The sequence below is a fragment of the Homo sapiens genome, chromosome 4 (genome assembly GCF_000001405.40).
Source record: "Homo sapiens chromosome 4, GRCh38.p14 Primary Assembly".
NCBI lineage: Eukaryota > Metazoa > Chordata > Mammalia > Primates > Hominidae > Homo > Homo sapiens.
In genome coordinates this window covers 172,724,243-172,749,475 of record NC_000004.12, presented here as the reverse complement: position 1 = coordinate 172,749,475, position 25,233 = coordinate 172,724,243, and the positions used below count along the sequence as shown (strand labels likewise).

General features: G+C 36.8%; 1 protein-coding gene and 1 long non-coding RNA gene across 9 annotated transcripts in view; one reads left to right on the top strand and one right to left on the bottom strand.

Moving 5' to 3' along the window:
• GALNTL6 (polypeptide N-acetylgalactosaminyltransferase like 6) overlaps positions 1 to 25,233 on the bottom strand; it is a 1,228,156-nt gene that overhangs the window by 292,084 nt on the left and 910,839 nt on the right. The gene's annotated exons all lie outside the window — the stretch shown is intronic.
• GALNTL6-AS1 (GALNTL6 antisense RNA 1) overlaps positions 22,598 to 25,233 on the top strand; it is a 96,947-nt gene continuing 94,311 nt past the window's right edge. Inside the window, exon 1 of the long non-coding RNA NR_125894.1 lies at positions 22,598 to 22,652. This is a non-coding gene — a long non-coding RNA (GALNTL6 antisense RNA 1). The remainder of the gene's footprint in view (positions 22,653 to 25,233) is intronic.

The following is a 25,233-nucleotide window of genomic DNA, read 5'->3' as shown; positions in this document are numbered from 1 at the left end:
TAATTTATAAAAGAACCTTCACACATAAATGGAGAGAGGAATGGATGTTTTGAAAACAAACGGTATTGAGAAAATTGGTTAGCTGAAAAAATTTTAAGTGAAAAATATCACCTGGCATAATGCAACAAAGTTCACATGGTTTAAATATTATAGCTGATAATTAAATTGTAAAGACTATCAAGATTAGGGGTGTATAAGGATATCGTAGGTATGGAGGATAGACCAAGCATAAACATAATAGAAGGTCTCAAAGAAAAACAGTGACATACATGATTACCTTTTTTGTGGTTATCTTTTTAAATTTTTAATTGACAAATAATAATTGTATAGTTTGAGACCAGCCTGGATAACATGGTGAAACTTCTTCTCTATCAAAAAAAAAACAAACAACAACAACAACAAAAATTAGCCTGGTGACAAATGCCTATGTCCCAGCTACTTGGGAGGCTAAAGTGGCAAGACCGATTCAGCCTGGAATATAGAGACTGCAGTGAGCCAAGATCATGCCACTGCACTCAAGCCTGGGCAACAGAGTAGACCTTGTCTTAAACAACAACAACAACAACAACAACAACAACAACAACAACAACAACAAAAGAAAATATGTGTATATGCATGCAGTACAATACCTGTATACATTATGGAATGATCAAATCTGGCTAATTAGCATATCCATCACTTCGAATATCTACCATTTCTTTGTGGTGAGAACATTTAAAATCCTCTCTTTTAGCTATTTTGAAATATACATTATTATTAACTGTAGCCCTCCTGCTGTGCGATAGGTCACCAGACCTCCAGACCTCATCCTCCTAAGCGTAACTTTGTATGTGTTGACCAACTTTTCCCCTTACTGTATCTACCCGTAACCCCAGCCTCTGGTAACCACCATTCCACTCTCAACTTCTGTAAGTTCAACATTTTTAGATTCCACATACAGCAGGCCCTGAAATAGCATTTTTTTTCCATGTTGTTTCATTATAATGTTGATGAGAGAAAAAAAAAATATATTCTTGACTGGGGCCACTGTCTGTCTGCGTGGAGTGAGTTTGCATGTTATCTCCATGTCTGTGTGGGTTTTCTTCAAGTACTCTTGTTTCCTCCCATATCCAAAGATGTGAACATTCGGTTAATTGGTGGGTCTAAATTGTCCCAGTCTGAGTGTGGGTGTGTGTGTGAGTGCGTACTGCGATGGAATGGCCTCCTGCCCAAGGTTAGGTCCCGCCCTGTGCCCTGAGCTGCTGGGAGAGGCTCCGTCCACCCTCATCCCTGAACTGGAATAAACAGGTAATAATTATCTTACTTGTTTTTTATTAATCTTTCTTAAATGTATATATAGTTCACATTTATTTTAATTCTTAATATTATAAGTGTTTTGGTCTTTCTTTTGAAGCTTAACCTAAGTCTTGCTTATATCAATTAATCTATAGTAAAATTGGTTTTGTTACATGTTGTTTCACTTAAAAGTTGCAGTTTCCAAGAACCTATTGACAACATTGTTAGCAATAACTGTGTCAGTGAGCTTATATAGTGATTGTCTCTCTGTGCCTGGCTTATTTAGCTTAACATAATGTCTTCTGGGTTCATCTAGTTGTCACAAATGATGACATGTATTTTCCTGTGGCTTTTTTTTTTTTTGAAGCTGAATAGCACAATTCCATTGTGTATATATGCCACATTAAAAAAAAAGTTAATCATTTGATGGATATTTGGGTTTTTCCATATCTTAGCTATGGTGAATAATGTTGCAATGAACATGGGGGTGCATACATCTCTTTCCCATACTGATTTCAATTCCTTTGGTATATATCCAGTAATGAGATTGCTGGATCATATGGTAATTCTTTATTTAGTTTTTTTTCAGGAACTTCCATAATGTTTTTCAAAATGACTATACTAATTTACAATACCATCAACAGTGTAAAAGTGTTCCCTTTTCTTCAAATCCTGGTCAACATTTACCTTTCATCTTTTTGATAATAGCCAGTCTGACAGATGTGAGGTGATATCTTCTTATAGTTTTAATTTGTATTTTTTTGATAATTAGCTATCTTGAACATTTTTCCACTTTATCTATTCATCTCATTTGTATGTCTTCTTTTGGGAACTGTCTATTCAAGTTCTTTGCCCATTTTTAATGGGGTTATTTGTTTTCTTGTCATTGAGTAGTTTGAGTTTCCTGTATATTTTGAATAATAACCCCTTATCCAATATATGATTTGCAAACATTTTCTCCCCATCTATGGGTTGTCTCTTCACTCTGTTGTTTCCTTTGCTTTGTAGAAGGTTTTTGTTTGAGGCAATCCTATCTCGTTTTTGCTTTCACTAACTGCATTTTGGGGTTAAATTACTTAGTTAAATTTGCTCATAACTATTTTATTCTACTTGATGGTATTGTAAGTGGACTTTTTTCTTATTTTTTCTTTGACAGATTGTTGTTAGTATATAAACATAATATTAATTTTGTATCCTGCAACTTTACTGAATTTATCAGTTTTAACAGCACTTTCGAGTTAGGTGGAGTCTTTAGGATTTTCTATATAGAAGATCATGTCAGCAAATAGAAACAATTTTACTTCATCCTTTCCTATTTTGATGGCTTTTATTTCATTCTCTTGCTTAATTGCTCTAGTTATAATTTATAGTACTATGTTGAACAGAAGTGGTGAAAATGGGCGTTCTTGTCTTGTTTTTGACCTTAGAGGAAAAGCCTTCACATTTTCACCATTAAGTATGATGTTAGCTGTGGGTTTGCCATATATGGCCTCTGTTATATTAAGGAGCATTCCTTTTATACCTAATTTATTGAATTTTTTAATCACAAAAGAATATTTTATAAACCCACATTATGTCCACTAAAAATCATAAAGAAAATTCAAAAATAAAAGGTAGCTAAGAACTGCAAAATATTAACTATTATAGACAAAAGCTAATATAGAGAAATTTTTACAAATTAATAAAAATGGAGACTTAGAAACATTGAGAAAAAGGCTTAGATACTATAAAAATGGCTATATCCAATTAAAATATAAAAAATTCAGTGAACTTGATAACATTTCAGTGTTTATTTTAATTTTCATACTTTGGTTACTAATATGTTTGAACACATTATAATAGGAATGATGATGACAAATAATAAAAACAAATTGGTACCATTGTTGTTAACAACTACTATACACCAGGCATTAGACTATGCAGTATCTCACTTAACGCTCACTTTAAGGTTGTGTGGTAGATTTTTATTATCCTCATTTTACAGAAAATTGAGGCTTATAGAAATTGACTAACCTGCCTAACAAAACACAGCAAGCAATAATAATAATAATTGCCTATAATAATTTTACAATTAAATTGCAGGTTTACTAGGCACTTATTCCTCAAGCAATACTATAAGGCAGATGTTATTATTATCATTATAATTTTATTATCTTGATTTTAATATGAGAAATTTCAGCTGAGAGAAGTATTTGGCCCATAGGTTTTGTAACATGATTGGTAAGCAGCAGTAATAACATTTAAAACCAGTAATGTCTTAGTCCAAAACCCATGAAATTTTGACTCTGCCACACTCCATAGCTCACATTGACTGTGGATGATCTTAACATTGAAATCCCTCAGACATCCACAGCTCCCTCGCCTAAGTTGTATTTTTCATCTTATATTTGAATAATTTACTGAAAAGTATGGTTATTCAACCGGATGCTCAAGTCCAAAACCTCTCCTTCCACTCTCTCATCCCCTCTCCAATCTCCTGCCACGACTCCAATCTGTCAACTTTAATTTTGAATCTATCTCTTACATATGAATCCCATTCTTCCCATTGTGACCACTTCTGCCTTAGTTTAAGTCACTGTAATGTCTCACCTTATAGTTTCTTACTCAGGCAAGTATATTGACCTTAGCAAGCTTCTGTAACTCCTGCCACAGTAGTTTACCTCCAATTCATTCTTCACACTGCTGGTCAGATGATTCTGTGTTTTTGCCTCTACAATTTTATGGCTTATTTTTCTAATTATAAAAGTTATGTGTACATATATATATATATGTTTTGAAAAGATAATAATTTTCTTTAATCTCTACAATTTCACCTAGTAATAATAACCACTAAAATAACATAATGTATAACATAATAAGAGCTCTAATTTTATGAATTTCCAGTTTCTTCATTTCTCTATATCCCACAGCAGCAAGAACAAAACTTGAACCTGCTTTTCAATGCTTGTATAAATCCTCTTACCATATCCTCTTTATCTTCTTTTTTTAATTAACAGAGAAACTTTACAGTCTACTATCTTTACATTATAGAATTTCTTGCTGTTCTTTTATCCCAGCTTTCCCTATTGTTTGAGAGAAAAAAGGGTGTTCTTTTTTCTCATTTAAGGCTAATTCTTGCTAAATTTAATTTCTTCTCATATCCTTTCAAGCCTAGTTACTTCAATGATCACCTCCAAGTATGCTCTTAATCTTTGGTATATAAACATGATTGATTATTATACTAAAATCAAATAACATGAAACAATATTGAATGGCAAGGGAAAATGTTCCCTAATAAATGTTGCATGAAACAGAAAATACAAAATTGGTGGATATTATGATCTGAAATACACACACACACACACACACACACACACACACGCACGCGCACTCTTAAAATCTATCCTTTTGTGTCTTGTTTGAAATGGCACTATGAGATTGACTTCTTGGTATCAACAGTGATGATGGGATCCTAGAATGGCAGAGGCCAACTGAGAGATAAGTCTTTCACCACGAGAGAGAAAAGGTGGAGGCAGTCACCACAATAGGCACAAAGGATAAAGTGGAAATCAAAGTGTTGACACCCAGAAATTTGGGGAAGTGACAAATTGTCCTTAGTAATGAAATAAATGGGCAGCCTACTAACTTATTACTTTATTTATAGAAAATCTTCTAGATCTGGTGACCAGAACCCTGATTTGAGTCATCACAATAGAGAGTTGCAGTCTCTAACTTGTTTTCTAGACCTACATCAGTACACAGACATGTATCTCCTTGATTTAAGGGGGTTCCAGTTTCCCTTGAAAAATAACTGCAACATTGCCACAAGTATGTATTGCTAGTACTTTCTCCAAGTTTTTTTCCAAAATGGATTTGTAGCCATGTGTTATGATAGCTAAGCACTTAGGAAAGGGAATTTATTACTGATATCCAGTCACTGGCTCTAAAGTGATCCTAATTTCTGGGGACCCAAAATGCCATTATACCCATCAATCAAAGTGGATGCTTACAGAAGTCAGATGGTAAATGGAATGTTAACCTTTGTCTAACAGTCAGTTCAGTGGGGATGCAGATTCAACTTCTGAATGCATAATTGAGATAGGCACTTGGCAACTGATAGAATCTCTACATTGACTTTCAGACCTGTGAATTCAGGATCATGATTACAGGAAGGGCTAAGTAGAACTCTTGGAGTTTCCCCTCTAGAGGAGGGTAATAATTCAAAAGCAATATGATATCCCTCTGGAACCGCTAAGATGAATGCCACTTAAAAGATCTGAAGTATGAAAGGTGATGAATTCTATCACATTCTCATTTAACTTATCTGTTTTGCCTGTGCAGAAGATAGATGGATCTTGGAGGATGACAATAGATTATCATAAATTTAATCATGTCAACACAATCTTTGATATCTGATATACAGTTATTTATCTGGCAAATACTTTTTAAATATAAGTTTGTAAGGACATCGAGAAGCCATTTCTTTTCTCATAAGGATGATAGCACATCTGCACAGTTATGTTCTCTGTTAGACAGATCTTCATCATCTGGATATCACACTGAGCATCATACTGGTCCACTACACTGATGCCATCATGATAATTTTTTTGATGAGCCAGGACCTTGAAATTGCTTTATGTATCTTAGTAAAGCACATGAGGGTGGAAGATAAAGTCCCCAGAATTCAAAGGGCATCTTCTTGGTAAAGTTTCCAGAGGGTGTCCAACGATCTGCAGTATGTCACAATATCATCTTCACAGTGAAAAACAGTTAAAAGCATCTTAAACATCTACCCCCAAAAACAAGGCATAATGCTTGGTGAACCTCTTTGGATTTTTGAGGCAACATATACTATATTAGGATATGATATTCTAACCCATTTTCTGAGGAACCAATGCAGTTGCCAGTTTTTAGTGGAGCCTGAGGGGGTAAAAATAAAAGGCTCTGCAACAACTCTAGGCTGTGGTGTAAGCTACTCTTTTACTTGGGTCTTCTGATCAAGTAGATCTCATGATATTTAAAGGTCTGACACATGTAAGAATGCTGTATGGAACTCCTGGCAAGCCTCCATAGAATTACAGCACATCCCATGGAGGAAAGCAATAGGCTCTTTTCATATAACTATTTTCCTTTGGAGAACTACTTCTTTGCTTGCTATTGAGGCTTCTTAAAGATTGAGTGTTGAACAATGGGACGTCAAATCACCATGTAACCTGAGCTGAGCATGATTAATTGGGATTATTTGACCTATCACATCACAAGTTTGGCATGCATAACAGCTATCGATCATTAAGTAAAAGCAGTAAACTGTGTAAGGAGGTGACCCCGAGCTCGTACTGGTTCTTACCTAGACTCAGGTCTGCTGATAGCTCTGCATAATACATTAGCACCAACTAGAAGTGGACTGCTATAGTATTAAGGCTTCCAAAAAAATGATGTCCTAGAAAAATGGTGGTGAAGGGAAATCCTGTCAGCAGATTTTAAGCAGTATAGTTTGTTGTTCGCTTTATCTGGACTGAAAGATGGCTAAAGGTTTGGACACATGCTATTTTATAGGTAGTCTCTTACATAGCCAGAATACATGGGTTCTGAAAATAAGGTGTTTTCATGGTAGCGGCCCTTCTCATTACCTGCTTGCCAACTTTTTCCTTACCTATCCCTGTAACTTTGTGCTCTGTTAGTTTTCAGATCTTGGTTCCCAAAGAAGAAATATCTTTACTTGAAGACACAATAATTGTGTTCAGTATGAAACAGATTACACATAGCCACTTTGGTATCTCTTGCCACAGATCTAGTAGGCAAAGAAGAGAGGTACTTTACAGGCTGGGGTGATTGGTTTGGACTATTCAGGAAAATTATATTGCTGTGACATATTGCAGGTAGGGAGTACTATGTTTTGGATACAAGAGATCATCTGTGGTGCGTCATAGTACTTCATGTTTAATAGTAAAGTTTAATGAAAATGTAAAGCTACCAAGAGAAACCCCAAACAAACAGGTTCACCAGGTATTCTTACCCTTTAAGAATAAAGTTTTGAACTATCCCGTTATCTAAAGGATCCTAACCAGCTGAACACTGGGCAAAAGAAACATGTGATGGGGTGGTAGAAGAAAGAAATTACATGTATCAAATGGTTTTGTGACAAACTAGAGAACTGAGAGATGTTTTAGTCATATTTTCTTTTTTGTTGTATGTATGCAGTGTAGTATATGTTTTTTCTTATTTTTATTAATAATTAATATTTTTATTCGTTCTTATTTTTCTCTATTGTTTTATATAGGATTGTCAGCTAAACTTCATTCTTTAGGTTACAGAGTGTTCAGGTGGGATTTGTGTGATTTAGAGGAATAGTCATTTCTCAGAGTTGGATACAGTGACTTCTCAAAGATGACTATGATGTTGGAACTTGATGTCTTCTATTCTTAGGCGGAGAGTGAAACTGTCTTCACTTGTTATCTATAAGTTTAAATATATGTAGCAGGGTGTACATGGATGCTGAGAAGCCTAAAGTGTGGACTAGAATAGTTATTAATATTACCTCTTATATCTATATATATTCTTCTATATAATAAATATATGTAGCAGAGTGTATATGGATGCTGAGAAGCCTAAAGCATGGACTAGGATAGTTATTAAGCTATTATCTCTCGGATCTAAATATATTCTTCTATGTAATGCTAGACTTTAACTCTGTAAAGTACATTATATGTGTGTATACATATGTATATGTACATATATGAAATGTATGTGTATGTATTATTTATTTCCAGTTGGCTTTGAGATAGGTTTTGCCAATAAGGATATGAGAGGAAGACTGGAAGGCACAAAGGAAGAGGAAATCCTTTCTTCTCCTTTGCTTGGTGTTTCTGTTGAGATTGTCCCGGCAATGACAATGCCCCAACAGCAATTGGTTCCAGCTTCCGGCTTCTTAAGCAGCTTCATAATATCCCTTCAGAGATACCCAAAGCACCAGGTGGCATCACCCCCAAGGTATGAGAACCTTTCAAACTGTTAGGTTCAAATGACCCTAAATTATTTTCATTTTTCTTTAGCCCAAGGAGGAGCAAAACCCATTGGCTTCTTGCAGCCATTATCTGGGTTATTTCAATATTTTAAGGTCAATGATTCAACATTCACTAATTCAGTGTTCACGGTGATTTTATACAATATAACTATCACAAATAATGCAAATCAACTGTAATTTTTGCACTTACATTTCATTAAAGGGGTAGGCTCCTGCAAGCCTCTGGTCACACTTTAATTGGCCATTCAACACATAATCTTATTTCATGTGTGTTTCTGTTTAAAGATACTTCATTTAAAATATACGCTTGATTCATTAACATTGCATTTACTGCCAATAGCACGGTAACTCACACCTGAATGAAGCTAACACATGAATTTTCTTCATTAGCCACATCACAGTCTTACACCTACACACACTAGGTAACACTTCAGCACTATTCTTGTGGGTAATTTTAAACAGTGAAATCACCACCAGAAAGCATGAAAATGCAAAAAAGAAAAAAAATCCCACACACCATGTAGTATTAAGTAGACCACAAAAAAGACTCTTGTTTACAATATGAGAGCTGAAACAAGTAGAGCTGACACAATATGAGAGAGTTGCTTTGTCTGACCACAGCTAGGAAAGCATGCGTCTTGGTGACTCAAATTTTTCCCCTCAATGTGTATGTCTGCAAATGGCCACAAAGCTCAGTGAGTACTGATTTGGGGGTTACCAATAAATCTTAGCAATTAGGTAAATTCATTATTCCAGAGTCAGTGAATAATGAGGATAGACTGTGAACAACACGATGACTTTTCACAAAGTGAAGGCAGCCATGCTGCAAACCCAAGCCAAGAAATAAAACATTTCCAGCATCCTCTTAGGCTCTCTTCCAAGGGTAACCACTACCCTGACTTCTGTGCCACAGATTAATGTGTAATTAAGTTCTTATATTAAATTTCTTCTGTTGAAATTCCTGGTGTGGTGTCTGTTTTTCTGAATGGTTCTTGGTCAATGTGGAAGTGAAGGTATAAATCACGTGGGGAGAAGAGTATGCCAATAAAATAGAACAAGTACAAAGGCCTTGAGAGAACGATGGAGGAATATCCAGGGAGCAGAAAACACGGTACGAGATGAGGTCAGAGAATAAATGGGAGCTGGATCCAGGAGGGTTTTGAAGTCCCTACAAAGGCTTTGGCTTTTATTATCAGTAAGATATGGTGCCTCTGAAAATTAAAACATGTAGCCATCCTTGTAAGTTTTTTTTTTTAATGTATCATTTCTTGAACAGCTCTGCTCTTTTTCATAGGTTTTTACTTATTTCTAACTGTCCCTTTTGTCTCCAACTTTTCCCCCACTGAGAGGCTTATTATAACAAGCATTTCTTTTTTTCAGCTACAGCTATATTCTATAACTTATGACTCTATGTTGTTTCTCAGCCAAATCTAAAGAAAATTCTTAGTATGTAATAAAATGCTGAGAATTGAGAGATTTTTATTTTGAAGAGAGGCTTGCTGAGATGGCAGATCTAAAATGGATTGTTCTTACATCCTGGGTACTATCAATACAATTTTCAAGAGTTTTTATGTTTTCCTCCAAACTTGATGTAAATACATTAGTTTTGGAAAAATTATTCTGGAATTATTCTGGTTTAATGATTGAGATAAGCTCTTGCCAAATTTTCTAATTTTAAGGCTTTTATTTAATAGGCTAAAAAATAAAACCCACCCACTAACCTACCAATCAACCAAACAAAACAAGTGGTAACAATTACTACTCGGTATCAGCTTTTCTCCCTATCTTCCTACACCCTGATGAGACCCTGCAAACAAATGAGCATGAACTTCCTGTCCTTATGACAAGAAGTAGGACCTGAGGTTTCACAGTGAGTTCTAACATACCTTAGAAAGTTACATAAGAATTTTCCACAAAATAAAAATGGCAAAGAAAAATAGTCATCCACAATCTCACTGGTATATACAATATGGGCTACATATTATTCCAGTACATGTGTAAACCAAAAATAAAATTCTAAGGCCCTCCAACCATCTAAATGGACTTCCTCCTTGGCCAGGTCATTCTAAAATTTAACCTGAAACACTGTTTCAAGCCATGATGGAAGTGGGGGTGGGATATGCCTCACTATACCGTTCAGCATTAACATTAACACAGACTTTAAGTTTGATAAGAAACATTTACAATTTATTCTCCCTGAAGCCTGCTACCTGGAGGCTTCATCTGCATGGTAAAACTTTGGTCTCTACAACCTCTTATCATAACCCAGACATTTATTTCTACTGATAACTCTTTCAACAAATTTCCAATCAGAAAATTTTTAAATCTGCCTGTAGCCTGGAAGCACCACTCCCCCGACCCACCTGCTTTGAGTTGTCTCACCTTTCTGGACCAAACCAAAGTATATCTTAAATGTATCTGATAGATGGCTCATTGTCTCATGTATGCCTAAAATGTATAAAACCAAGCTGTGCCCCAACCACCTTGGGCACGTGTTCTCAGGATCTCCTAAGGGCTGTGTCATGGGCCATGGTCACTCATACTTGACTCAGAATAAATCTCTTCAAATATTTTACAGAGTTTGACTTTTTTCATTGACACGTTTTAAAATATATTTTGTATATAATCATGTATTCTGCATTAAAAATCATTTAGCATGACATCCCTATCTCACATACCTTTTGAGTAGAGTATAGGGGAAGTAGATTATTAAAAAAATATATTTTTATCCAAAATGGTGGTGTAGAGACAAGCTGGCTTCATTCCCCATTACAACAAACACCAACAGCAACAACAAAAAGTCCAAATATACAGCGCTGAGTTCTTCAACAGCAACAACCCAGAGCTCAAGTATGAGGATGAGCCAGTTTCTGGGGATGCGGAGAAGTGGAAAAACTGAGCAGATGATGGACAACTGACATTCACAAGGATGACACCCCTCCAACTAATTCTGCCCAGGCACCACCTGTGAGGAAAATCTCCCTTCAACTCATGGTTTCTACACTGGAAAAAGTAAAATTGAGGTTGTCAACAAATTTCCCCATTTTCTTGGGTTCACCAGCAGGAGAACTGTCCTTGCCTTAACCCATGAGTAGCATCATGACTGCCTGAAGGGAAAACTATCTCTGAGGACAGGCAGAAACAAACAAAGTAGGCAGGACTACCATCTCCAGCTCAGAAACTCTGCTCTGTAACTCAGCCAAAGGAGAGTCTAACTAAGAGCAGCTATAGGAGGTATGTTCCCCAGGTCCCCTCTTTATAATCCCCTAGCCAAGCTTCCCATGATGCCAGAATAATACTTTTGGGACCTTCCCAATTTGGGACAGGCAGTGGTCTGACAGTTTACTAGAGCTGAGATGAACCTAGGCTTAAGGTGTCACCTAGAGCTGAAAAGGAGGCAGCAATCCACTAGTAAAGAATTGCTAAGCAAATGTATTCAATAAAAACTGGAACAAGTTAGACAGAGACAACTGGAATAAATAACTAATTCTCCAGTGCAAAGACATAGATGTATACCCACAAGAAACAAGAGCAAACAGAAAACCATGATCTCTCCAAAAGGTCAAATCAAAAAGCCAGTGACTGACTCAAATGAGATGGCAATTTGTGAGTTTTCTGATCAAGAATTCAAAACAGCAGTTTTAAGGAAACTCAGTGATCTCCAAGATAATATAGAAAATCAATTTAGAAATTGATCAGAGAAATTTAGCAAAAAATTGAAATAATAAAAAGACAAACAGAAATCTTGCAACTATGAAATATATTGGCTGAGATGAAAAACACATTAGAGGCTCTTAACAGTGGAATGAAGCAAGCAGAGGAAAGAATCAGTGAGTTCAAAGACCTGCTATTTAAAAATACAAATTCAGAGGAGAAAAAGGAAAAAAAAAGAATGAAAAGGAATAAAGACCACCTGCAAGACATAGAAAATTATTTCAAAAGACCAAATCTAAGAATTATTGCCATTCAAGAGGGAGCTGAGCAAGAGCAATGGGTAGAAAGCCTATTCAAAGAAACTATAACAGAAAGTGTTTCAAAACTTGAAAAAGATATAAATATCCAGGTACAGTTAGTTCTTAAACACCGAACAGATTCAACCTAAATAAGAATACAGTATTAGTCCTTTTTTATACTGATAATAAGACATACCCAAGACTGTGAAATTTATAAAGAAAAAGAGGTTTAATGGACTCACATTTCCACATGGCTGGGGATGCCTCACAATCATGGTGGAAAGAGGAGTAACAAAGGCACGTCTTAGATAGTGGTAAGAAAGAGAGCATGTGCAGGGGAATTGTCCTTTATAAAACCATCAGATATTTTAAGACTTATACACTCTCAGAAGAACAGCTTGGAAAGACCCACTATTGCGGGAAGTCAGGGACCCCGAATGGAGGGACCAGCTGAAGCCACAGCAGAAGAACATAAATTGTGAAGATTTCAAGGACATTTATTAGTTCCCCAAATTAATATTTTTATAATTTCTTACACCTGTCTTTACTGCAATCTCTGAACATAAATTGTGAAGATTTCATGGACATTTATCACTTCCCTAATCAATACTCTTATAATTTCCTATGCCTGTCTTTACTTTAATCTCTTAATCCCGTCATCTTCATAAGCTGAGGATGTATGTCACCTCAGGACCCTGTGATGATTGCGTTATCTGCACAAATTGTTTGTAAAGCATGTGTGTTAACAATGTGAAATCTGGGCACCTTGAAAAGAACAGGATAACAGCCATTTTCAGGGAACAAGGGAGATAACCATAAGGCCTGCCTGCCTGTGGGGCTGGGCAGAATAGAGTCATATTTCTCTTCTCGCAAAAGCGAATAGGGGAAATATCACTGAATTCTTTTTCTCAGCAAGGAACAGCCCTGGGAAAATATTGTATTCTCAGGGGGAGGTCTCTAAAATAGTCGCTCTGGGAGTGTCTGTCTTATGCAGTTGTAGATAAGGGATGAAATACACGCTGGTCACCTGCAGCGCCCCCCAGCTTGCTAGGATTGGGAAATTCCAGCCAGGTGAAATTCTAGTCAGACCAGTTGTCTGCTCTCAAACCCTGTTTCCTGTTCATCAATGACAATGTGTGCCCAGCAGGACATGGACCTTCATCAGTAATTCTAGTTTCACCCTGGCCTTGTGATCTCACTCTGCCTCTCTGCCCTTGTGATATTTTATTGCCTTTGAAGCATGTGATCTCTGTGACCCACACCCTATTCGTACACTCCCTCCCCTTTTGAAAACCCTAATAAAAACTTGCTGGTTTTGTGGCTCAAGGGGCATCACGGAACCTGCCGACATGTGATGTCACCCCTGGAGACCCAGCTGTAAAATTTCTCTCTTTTGTACTGTTTCTCTTTATTTCTCAGACCGGCCGACACTTAGGGAAAATAGAAAAGTACCTATGTTGAAATATTGGGGCTGGTACCCCTGATAACCCACCCCCATGATTCAATTACCTTCCACTGGGTCCCTCTCACAACAATGGAAATTATGGGAGCTACAATTCAAGATGAGATTTGGAAGCAGACATAGCCAAACCATATCATTCCACCCTGGGCCCCTCCCAAATCTCATGTCCTTACATGTCAAAACCAATCATGCCTTCCTAACAGTCCCCCAAAGTCTTAAATCATTTTAGCGTTAACTCAAAAGCCCACAGTCCAAGTTCTCATCAGAGACAAGGCAAGTCCCTTCTGCCTACGAGCCTATAAAATCAAAAGCAAGTTAGTTACTTCCTAGATACAATGGGGGTATAGGCAATGGGTAAACACACCTGTTCCAAATGAGAGAAATTGGTCAAAACAAAGGGGTTACAGGCCCCATACAAATCTGAAATCCAATAGGGCAGTCATTAAACCTCAAAGTTCCAAAATAATCTCCTTTGAGTCCATGTCTCACATCCAGGTCACGCTGCTGCAAGAGGTGGGTTTTTACGGTCTTTAGCAGCTCTGCCCCTGTGGCTTTGCAGGGTACAGAGCACCTCCTGGTTGCTTTCATGGGCTGGTGTTGAGTGTCTGCAGCTTTTCCAGGTGCATAGTGCAAGCTGTCAATGGATCTACTATTCTGGGGTCTGGAGGATGGTGGCCTTCTTCTCATAGCTCCGCTAGGCAGTGCCACAGTGGGGACTCTGTGTGGGTGCTCCAACCCCACATTTCCCTTCTGCACTGCCATAGCAGAGGCTCTCCATAAGGGCTACAACCCTGCAGCACACCCCTGCCTTTGAAATCTAGTCAGAGGTTCCCAAACCTTAATACTTGACTTCTGTGTACCTGCAGGACAAACACCATGCGGAAGCTGCCAAGGCTTGGGGATTGCACCCTCTGAAGCTATGGCCTGAGCTGTACCTTGGCCCGTTTTAGCCATGGCTGGAGCGGCTGGGATGCAGGGCACCAAGTCCTGGCTGCACACAGTAGAGGGACCCTGGACCTGGCCCAGGAAACCATTTTTACCTCCTAGACCTCTGGGCCTGTGATCCATTGACAGCTTGCACCATGCACCTGGAAAAGCTGTAGACACTCAACACCAGCCCATGAAAGCAACCAGGAGGTGCTCTGTATCCTGCAAAGCCACAGGGGCAGAGCTTCTCAAGACTGTAAAAACCCACCTCTTGCGGCAGTGTGACCTGGATGTGAGACATGGAGTCAAAGGAGATTATTTTGGAGCTTTGAGGTTTAATGACTGCCCTATTGGATTTCAGATTTGTATGGGGCCTGTAACCCCTTTGTTTTGGCCAATTTCTCCCATTTGGAACAGGTCTGTTTACCCATTCCCTCCTAGGCCACTGGGCCTGGGGCTGCAGTGAAGGTCTCTGACATGCCCTGGAGATATTTTCCCCATTGTCTTGGTGATTAGCATTTTGAACCTTGTTACTTATGCAAATTTCTGCAGCTGACTTGAATTGCTCCCCAGAAAATGGGTTTTTCTTTTCTACTGCATCAGCAGGCTGCAAAATTTTCAAACTTTTATCGTCTGCCTCCTCTTGAACACAATGCTGCTTAGAAATTTCTTCCACCAGATACCCTAATCTCTCTGAAGTTCAAAGTTCCACAGATCTCGAAGGCAGAGGCAAAATGTCACCAGTATCTTTGCATAGCAAGAGTGACCTTTACTCCAGTTCCCAACAAGTTCCTCATCTTCATCTGATGAGTCTGGACTTTATTGTCCATATCACTATCAACATTTTGGTCAAAGCTATTCAACAAGTCTCTAGGAAGTTCCAAACTTCCCACATCTTCCTGTCTTCTTCTGAGCCCTCCAAACTTTTCCAACCTCTGCCTGTTACCCAGTTTCTAAGTCGCTTCCACATTTTCAGGTATCCTTATAGGAGTACCCCACTCCTGGTACCAATTTACTGTATTAGTCCATTTTTATACTGTGAATAAATACATACCTGGGACTGGGTAATTTATAAAGAAAAAGAAGTTTTTGAAATCACAGTTCCACATGGCTGGGGAGGCCTCACAATCATGGCGGAAGGCGAAGGAGGAGCAAAGGCACATCTTACATGGCAGCAGGCAAGAGAGCATGTACAGGGGAACTGCCCTTTATAAAACCATCAGACCTTATGAGACTTATTCACTATCATGAGAACAGCATGGGAACAACCCACCCTCATGATTCAATTACCTCCCACTAGGTCATTCTCACCATACATAGGGATTATGGGAGCTACAATTCAAGACGAGATTTGGGCAGGGACACAGCCAAACCATATCAAATACCCCCATAGGGATTATGGGAGCTACAATTCAAGACGAGATTTCGGCAGGGACACAGCCAAACCATATCAAATACCCCAAGGCATTAGATAATCAAATCCTCAAAAGTCAAGGGCAAAGAGAAGATCCTAAAAGCAGCAAGAAATAATCAAGTAATATATAAGGGAGCTACAATTAGTTTGGCAACAGGCTTCTCAAGAGAAACCATACTGGCTCAAGGGGAATAGAACAATATTTTCAAAGTGTTCAAAGAAAAAACTGCCACCCAGAAATGTATTCAGCAGAATTCTCATTCTAATTTGAGGATAGAGAAAAGTCTTTCACAGACAAACAAAGCCTGAGAGAATTCACCACCAACAGACCCGTTTTGCAAGAAATGCTAAAGGGAGTTCTTCAAACTGAAAAACAAAAGCACTAAGGTGCAAAATTAAGTACATGAACAAACTCAGAGTATTCAAACTCAGAGTATGCATTTGTGGTGTGCCATCCACCTATAACTCTAGTATAAAATCCCAAAGAAAAATTTATCAAAAACAAAAATAGCATGGCAACCTGTTAAGAGATAGGTAATTAAAATATGTAAATTGAGACAACTAAAAGTCAAAATGTAAGGCAGATGGAGATAAAGTGTAGAATTGTGTTTGTGGGTTTTTTTGCCTTTGTTTGTGTCTATTCTTTTATTTGTGTTCTAAGATAAGTCACCATCCCTTTAAAGTAACTTGTTTCATCAATAAAATATACTTTGGAAATCTCATGATAACCACAGCACAAAAAGTTATAATTGATTCACTACAAATAAAAAGCAATAAATTAAAACATACTATCAGAGACAATAATTTAAGCCAAAAGGAAGACAGTAAGAAAGGAAGAAAAGAAGAGAGGAATCTCAAAACCACCAAAAAACAAGCAACGAAACAGCAGTGGTAAGTTCTTATCAATAATAACGCTAAATGTGAATGGTTTCAACTCTCCAACTAAAAGGCATAGAGTGGCTGAATGGATAAAGAAATGACTCAATTATATTCTGCCCTCAAAAACCCCACTTTACCTGTAAAGACACACATAACTAGAGAGGATGGAAAAGGTATTCTGTGCAACTGGAAAGCAAAAAAGAGCAGGAATAACTATATTGACATTATATGAAATAGACTACACAACACAGACTGTGAAAAAAGACAAGGAAGATCACTATAAAATGATAAATGAGCCAATTCAATAAGAGGATATAAGTATAAATATTTATGTACCCAATACAGAGCTCCTAAATACTTGAAGCAATCATGAATAGACCTAAAGGAAGAGATAGAATGCAATACAATAATAGTCAGGGATGTTAACATCCCATTCTCAGTAACAGACAGATCATCCAGACACAAAATCAACAAGGAAACAGTGGAGAGAAACTACACACTAGATCTAATAGGACTAATTGATATTTACAGAACATTTCACTAGGTTCTGTGGAACATGCATTTTTTTCACTGAATATAGAACATTTTCCAGGATAGACCATATCTTGAGCCACAAAACAAGCCTGTGCAAATTCTGAAAACTAGAAATAATATCAAGTATTTTCTCTGAAAAATATGAAATACAACTAGAAATAAAAAACAAGATGAACCCTGGAAAATTCACAAACAAATGGAAATTTAAAAAACCATGTTTTTGAATGACCAATGGGTCAATAAAATTAAGAAGGAAATTTTAAAAAATTTTGATTGAAATAAAAATGCAAAATGCCAAACTCTATGGAATACAGCTAAAGCAGTACTAAGAGGAAGGTTTATAGCAATAAATGCTTATATCAAAAAAGTAGAAAGACTTCAAATTAACAACCTAACAAGGCATCTCAAGAAATTAGAAAAGCAAAAATAAATAAAATCCTAAATTACTAGAAGGAAAAAATAATAAAAGATCAGAGCAGAAATAAATGAAATTAAGACTAAAAAATGTAAAGGATCAACAAAGCAAAGGTTGTTTTTTAAAAAAGATAAAGAAAATCAACAAACCTTTAGCTAGACTAAGAATAAAAGAGAGAAGACGCAAATAAATAAAATCAGCAAATAAAAGGAGACACAGAAACTGAGAACCTCAGAAATACAAAGAATCATTACAGATTATCATGAACAACTACATGCCAACACAATGAAAAAACTAGAAGAAATGGATAAAATCCTGGACACATACAATCTACCAAGATTGAATCACCAGGAAATAGGAAACCTTAACAAAACAAACAAAAAATGAGTAATTAGATCAAAGCTGTAATAAAGAGTCTCCCATCAAATAAAAGCCCAGAATCTGATGGATTCCCTGTTGAATTATACCATATATTTAAAGAAGAACTAATATCAATCCTACTCAAACTCTCAAACTCTTTTTTTTTTTTTTTTGGAGATGGAGTCTTGCTCTGTAGCCCAGGCTGGAGTGCAGTGGTGCGATCTCGGCTTACTACAACCTCCACCTCTTGGGTTCAAGTGATTCTCCTGCCTCAGCCTCCCAAGTAGCTGGGAGTACAGGTGCATACCACCATGCCTGGCTAAATTTTTGTATTTTTAGTAGAAACAAGGTTTCACCATGTTAGCCAGGATGGTCTCGATCTCCTGACCTCGTGATCCGCCCGCCTCGGCCTCCCAAAGTGCTGGGATTACAGGCAGGAGCCACTGTGCCCAGCCCAATCCTATTCAAACTCTTACAAAAATTTGAAGAGGAGGGAATACTTCCCAAGTCATTCTACAAGACCAGCATTAGCCTAATACCAAAACCAGACAAGGATGCTACAAGAAAATAAAACTACAGGCCAATATCGCTGAAGAACATAACTGCAAAAATCCCCAGCAAAATACCAGCAAACCAAATGCAACAACACTAAAAAGATCGTTCACCATGATCAAGTGAAATTCATCCTAGGGGTAAGACAATGTTTCAACATATGCAAATTAATAAATGTGTTACATCACATCAACAGAATGAACAAAACCATATGATTATTTCAACAGATGCCTCAAAAGCATTTAATAAAATTCAGCATCCCTTTATTAAAAAACCCTTATCAAAATGTGTACAGTAGGAACATATCACAAAATAATAAAGGCCATCTAAGACAAACCCATGACTAACACTGCACTGAATGGAGAAACATGGAAGACCTATCCTCTAAAGACTTGGAACAAGACAAGGATTCCCACTTTCACTGATTTTATTCAACACAATACTGGAAGTCCTGGCCAGAACAATTGGGAAAGAGAAAGAAATAAAGAACATTCAAATTGGAAAGGAGGAAGTCTAATTAGCTTTGTTAGCAAAAAACACACTCTTACATTTAGAAAAATCGAAAGACTCCATCAAAAAACTGTTAGAACTGATAAAAGAATTCAGTAGTTTCAGGATACAAAATCAACATATAAAAATCAGTAGCATTTATATATGGCAACAGCAAACAATCTGAAAAAGAAATCATGAAAGTAATTCCATTGACAATAGCTACAAAAAATATAAAATGCTTAGGAACCAATCTAACCAAAGAAGTAAAAGACCTATACAAGGAAAACTACAAAATACTGATAAAAGAAATTGAAGAGGACACCAAAAAAACAGAAAGATAGTCTATGCTCATGGATTGGAACAATTAATATTGATAAGATGACAATACCACCCAAAGTAATTTACATATTCAATGCAATCCTATCAAAATACCAATGACATTCTGCACAGAAATAGAAAAAATTCTAAAGTTTATATGGAACCACTAAAGACCCTTAATAGCCAAAGCAATCCTGTGCAAAATTAACAAAGTTGGTCGCCTCATACTACCTGACTTCAAAATTCATTCTAAAGCTATAGTAATAAAAACAGCATGGTACTCACATAAAAATAGACACAGGGACCAATGGAACAGAATAGAGAATCCAGATATAAATCCATGCACTTACAGCCTGCTTATCTTCAACTTAGGCACCAAAAACTTACAATGAGGAAAGAACAGTCTTTTCAATAAGTGGTGCTGGGAAAACTGGGTAACTATCTATATGTAGAAGAATAAAGCTAGATCCCTATCTCTTACCCTACATAAAAATTAAATCAAAATGGATTAAAAACTTGAATCTAAGACCAGAAACTATGAAACTACTAGAAGAAAACTTTAGGAAAATGCTCTAGGACATTTATTTGAGAAAAGATTTTTTTGTGTAAGACCTCAAAAGCACAGGCGACCAAGAAAAAATAGACAAATGGGATTACATAAAGCTAAAAAGCTTCTGAACTACAAAGGAAACAATCAATAAAACTGAATAGACAACCTGCAGAATAGGAGAAAATATTTGCAAACTATCCATCTGAAAGGGGATTAATAACCAGAATATATAATATATAAGGAGCTCGAACAACTCAATAATGGAAAAACCCAAATAATCAAATTAAAAATAGGCAAAGGATCTCAATAGACATTTCCCTAAAGAAGACATACAAATGGCCAACAGGTGTATGAAAAAATGCTCATCATCTTCAATCATCAGAGATATGCAAATCAAAACCACAATGAGATATCTCACCCCAGTTAAAATGGCTTGTATCAAAAAGACAGGCAACAACAGATGTTGGCAAGGATGTGGAGAAAGGGCAACCTTCATACGCTAAGTGGGAATGTAAATTAGTATAGCCACTTGGAGGACATTATGGAATCTCCTCAAAAACCTACAAGTAGAACTTTCATATTGTCTAGCAATTCTACTACGGTGTATATATCTGAGAGAAAGGTAATCAGTATATCAAAGAGATATTTGCACTTCCATGTTTATTGCAGCACTATTCATAAAACCCAAATATTATGATATTCACAATACCCAAATCACTATTCACAATAGCCAAAATATGGAATCAACCTAAGTGCCCATCAGTAGATGAATGGATAAAGAAAATGTAATATATATACACACATATATATTTCATTGTATATGTACATATATATTTCATTGTATATGTACATATACAATGAAATATAATTCAGCCATAACAAAGCATGAAATCCTGTCTTTTTCAGCAATGTGGATGGAACTGGAGCCTATTATGGTAAGTGAAATAAGCCAAACACAAAAAGGCAAACATTGCATATTCTCACTCCTATGTGAGAACTAAAAAAAGTGGATCTCATGAAGATTGACAGTAGACTGGTGGTTATCGGAGGCCAGGAAGGTAAAATGGAGTAATATAAGAGAAAAGGAAGAAGGATATAAATGTATTTATTACCACTGAATTGTACACATAAAAATAGTAAAGATTGGGCCGGGCTTGGTGGCTGACGCCTGTAATCCCAGCACTTTGGGAGGCCAAGGTCAGGAAATCAAGACCATCCTGGCCAACACAGTGAAACCCCATCTCTACTAAAGATACAAAAAATTAGCCAGGCGTGGTGGCAGGTGCCTATAGTCCCAGCTAGTCGGGAGGCTGAGGCAGGAGAATCGCTTGAACCCAGGAGGCGGAGGTTGCAGTGAGCTGAGATCCCGCCACTGCACTCCAGCCTGGGTGATACAGCGAGACTCTGTCTCAAAAAGAAAAAAGAAAACAATAGCAAAGATGGTATTTTTTACCTCAATAAAAAAACAATAAAAAGAAGAAAAATATTTTTAATATTAAAATAATTTAAATATTAAAAAGAAAAATATTTAAAAACATTTTAATGCTTAAATAATGTGCTAGAATTAAGAGTTTTCTTATTGTTTGACATTTAAATTATTTCTGTTCTTATTAATACACATAATGGTGTTAATAACATCTTCATGCATATGCTTCTGTTCAAAATTAGGATACAACACAACAAATTGAGTTACTTGTTCAAAACATATGAAAAAATTAATAGCATGTGACACACTTTGTTAGATTTATTCCTTAAAGGCCAATTAACACTGACATCAGCAATATGGGATTACCAATTTTCCTGCTTTCTTGATAGTATTGGGAATTATCTTTATAAAAACAGGATTTGTTTGGCTAATTTATTAGATTAAATACATATCTCATGCCTCATTGTTTTAATTTGAATTTATTTGCTCATTAGTGAATCTGAGCATTTTTCTATGATTATTTACTGAATTCGTTTATAGTTTGTGAGTAATTATCCTTCCTTTAGATTTGGCAGCTCTTGAAAAAATGAGACTAGAATGGGAGAAAGTTGTGTGGTGTAAAGTATATGACTTTCTGCAGATGAATTTAGAGAGGTAAGACTTCTGGATGACTACAGCGTTATTTCTTAAAACAGTAGAGTGGCCAGGTTTTTCTATGGGCACACAAGGAGCTTGGGTCAAGTCATAAATTGTGTTGACACAAAATGACAACTGAGAGAAAAGAATTTTACTATCAATTTTATTAACTTTAATATTAAGGTAGAAAAATATTCATTGTTATTTAAATACTTTTAACCTCATTTACACATTTTATAGTTTTCCAGTTTATTAAGTTTTTAATCTGAATGCCAGTGGGATGTCTTTCGCCTTTGAGAGTCACTTATATTTGATTCCTGAAAGTTAATCTATTTTCACAGAGATCCTTAACAATAATCATTAATGAAGATGACCTGACATTTGATCACTTGAAATGGTGGTTAAGCTCACAGAAGCAGGGACTATTAGAGAGAGAATAGGGACCTCATACACCAGGTAAGAAACATGTTCTGACAACTTCTGAGTTCCTTCTTTTTGATCATTTCTGTATTTCAAGCTCCTAGAACACTATCTGATATATGATAGGCTCTCAATCAATATGTGTTGAATTGGATGGATCATGATAAGCTTCCATTATTTTCATCCCTATGTGTCAAGAACTTTCCTATTCTTCATCACTGTACTTTGATCAAGTGTTCTCATCAGAGTATAATCATCTTATAATAATTGTGATTATAGGTTGGGGTTCAATCAGGCTGGTGGGAAAAATATTAAGATAGTTATAGTAATAGCCAAAAACTCTCTTGGAAGATCTGAGAGTTTGCATAGCTTCAGATTGCTTGGCTGAAGGCAGCCAAGCTCTCCTTGCAGGAGCCAGAAAGATTAGGGTGCAAGTACAAAGGAATGTGGGAAGTTGCTCTTACTAACATGCTTACTTATATTGGCTTAAGACTGACCTTTGTCCTACCGCGGGTACTTTACTGCCTCCTACTCGGGGGTCGGCAGAAGTTTATTACCTGCAAATGATGTTTGCTTTAGGCCTCGGAACCTGGCCTTTGATCCTTACCTTCTAGTGGTGTTTACTCACAACTTTTGTTAATTAGTCACTGAATAAATGGCGAGAGCCTCGCTAGCTGATCAGGGCCCAGTGGCAACTGTTTACAGGGCTCAGCAGGAAGCCTGTAAGCGACTGGGACCCTCAGCGGGACTGGCAGAGCAGAATATCTGTGTGTCAGTGTACGTTTATTCATCCATCGCTGAATCAGGGCTCTGAAGGAACAGACTCCCCGCAGCTAGTGCCCCCGCGGAAGGAACGCTGCCTCAATTATAATCATTGAAACTTCTACAACATTCCAGGCAGTGTTCTAAGGGGGCTTCATACATTTTATAATTTAATCCTCACAACAACCTTATGAAATAAGTACCATTATTATCCCTATAAACCTCTAACTTCTATCAGAGTACGTATTTTATCTCTCTTGTTCACTGATATATCTACAAGCTTAGAACATTACGTGGCACATCATAGAAGCATGACAAATATTAGCAGAATGAATAATTTTTTTCACAGATGAGGAAATGACTGTTTATCATTCATTAACCAAATCCAGACCTCTTTAAAGCAGAACGCAAGATTGTTAAACATTTGTCAAGAAACTCTAAGCCTATCTCTAACCCTTCTACACCTAATTCTAACTTTTGACAATATTTTCAACCCAATTTTTATCTTAAGTTAGGAATATAGTCTCTCAACGTTTTGGCCTAATTAGGAACATTTATACTGTTTATAATTTTGATTATCTTTGATAAAGAGTCTCTCCAGTTATATTACAACCCCTTATATCTGTTGAGAAGAAGATCCTTATTTGATCTAGATAAGCACAGTGGACTCAAAGCTAAGTTTAGGAGTAATATTTTTCCTGACATGCTCTGAGAAATTCTGCATTCCTAAAACTAGAAGAATGTGTGGAGCCTGAGTACAGTAGAAGGTGAAAAAGTTTGGGGGTGGCACGGAGAGCCAAAATACTTAGTACTAGGACTATGTAATATTCAGTTGGAAGTTGCTTTTATTAATGTTTATAATTAAAATCCTCATTAATCCTCATAGATATTCTGTAGTGTCTCCTATACATGCAAATGTTGTGTTAAATGGATTTTTCCAAAGAACTAAGGTAGGAGATGAGAATTACCCCTAAAATGCTATATGGAATAGAGAAATAATTCATGACCCAAACTAATTCAGTACTAACAGAAGCACGGAGACAGGGGAAAAATACTTGAAAAAAACCCAGAAAATTTTGGCTGTTGGGGGAGACGAAGACTTCCATTGCATGTGAAAAATTGTGTGAAATCATGTCTGGGTGTCCTGGAAGAAGGAGAGCCCAGGTGATATCTTGTTAGCACCCTGATGATGTTCAAGCTCCTTTCTTGCTCTTCTTCTTGGTGCCCAGATTCCTGGATTTCACATTTTGATTCTTGAATCCCAGATTCCTTGAGCTTTTCACCTTTTATTTCTTTTTCTCTTTCTCAGGTTTCTGAATCATTTCTATTTTTTCCCCAAACTTTGGGTCTATTGCCATATTTTGACGTAAAAACTGATTCTTTAGTACTTGGCTAACCACTTCAATAACTTCCCTTCTTAATTCACTCATTTTAATTAATTTTTATACAAATGTATTGAGGTCTTGCTGTGTGTCAGGAAGAGCATAGGAAGGCTTAATTTAAGCAATCTCAGACTGCAGAGGTGGGAGACACTTGGAAACAGAAAAAGCACAAGACAGTTGTGCAAAGGCTAATATACAAAGTTGAACACAGGGAGAGAGCCCAACTAATTGATTCAGAGATGCTTCACAAAGGTGTTGTCATTCATGATGGGTGACTCTGGGTCTTTGATAATCATCGACTGCTCACTAGTCCTGAGTTTCCTTACTTCCAGATTTTATGTTACGTGAGAAAAAGCGTATCTTGTTTAAGCTACTATAGGATGGATTTTGTGTTGCTTAGGTTTGAATAAATTCCAAATGATATCTTGTATAATAGACTAATGGCTTGAAATAAAGGACTGATGATGTGGGTG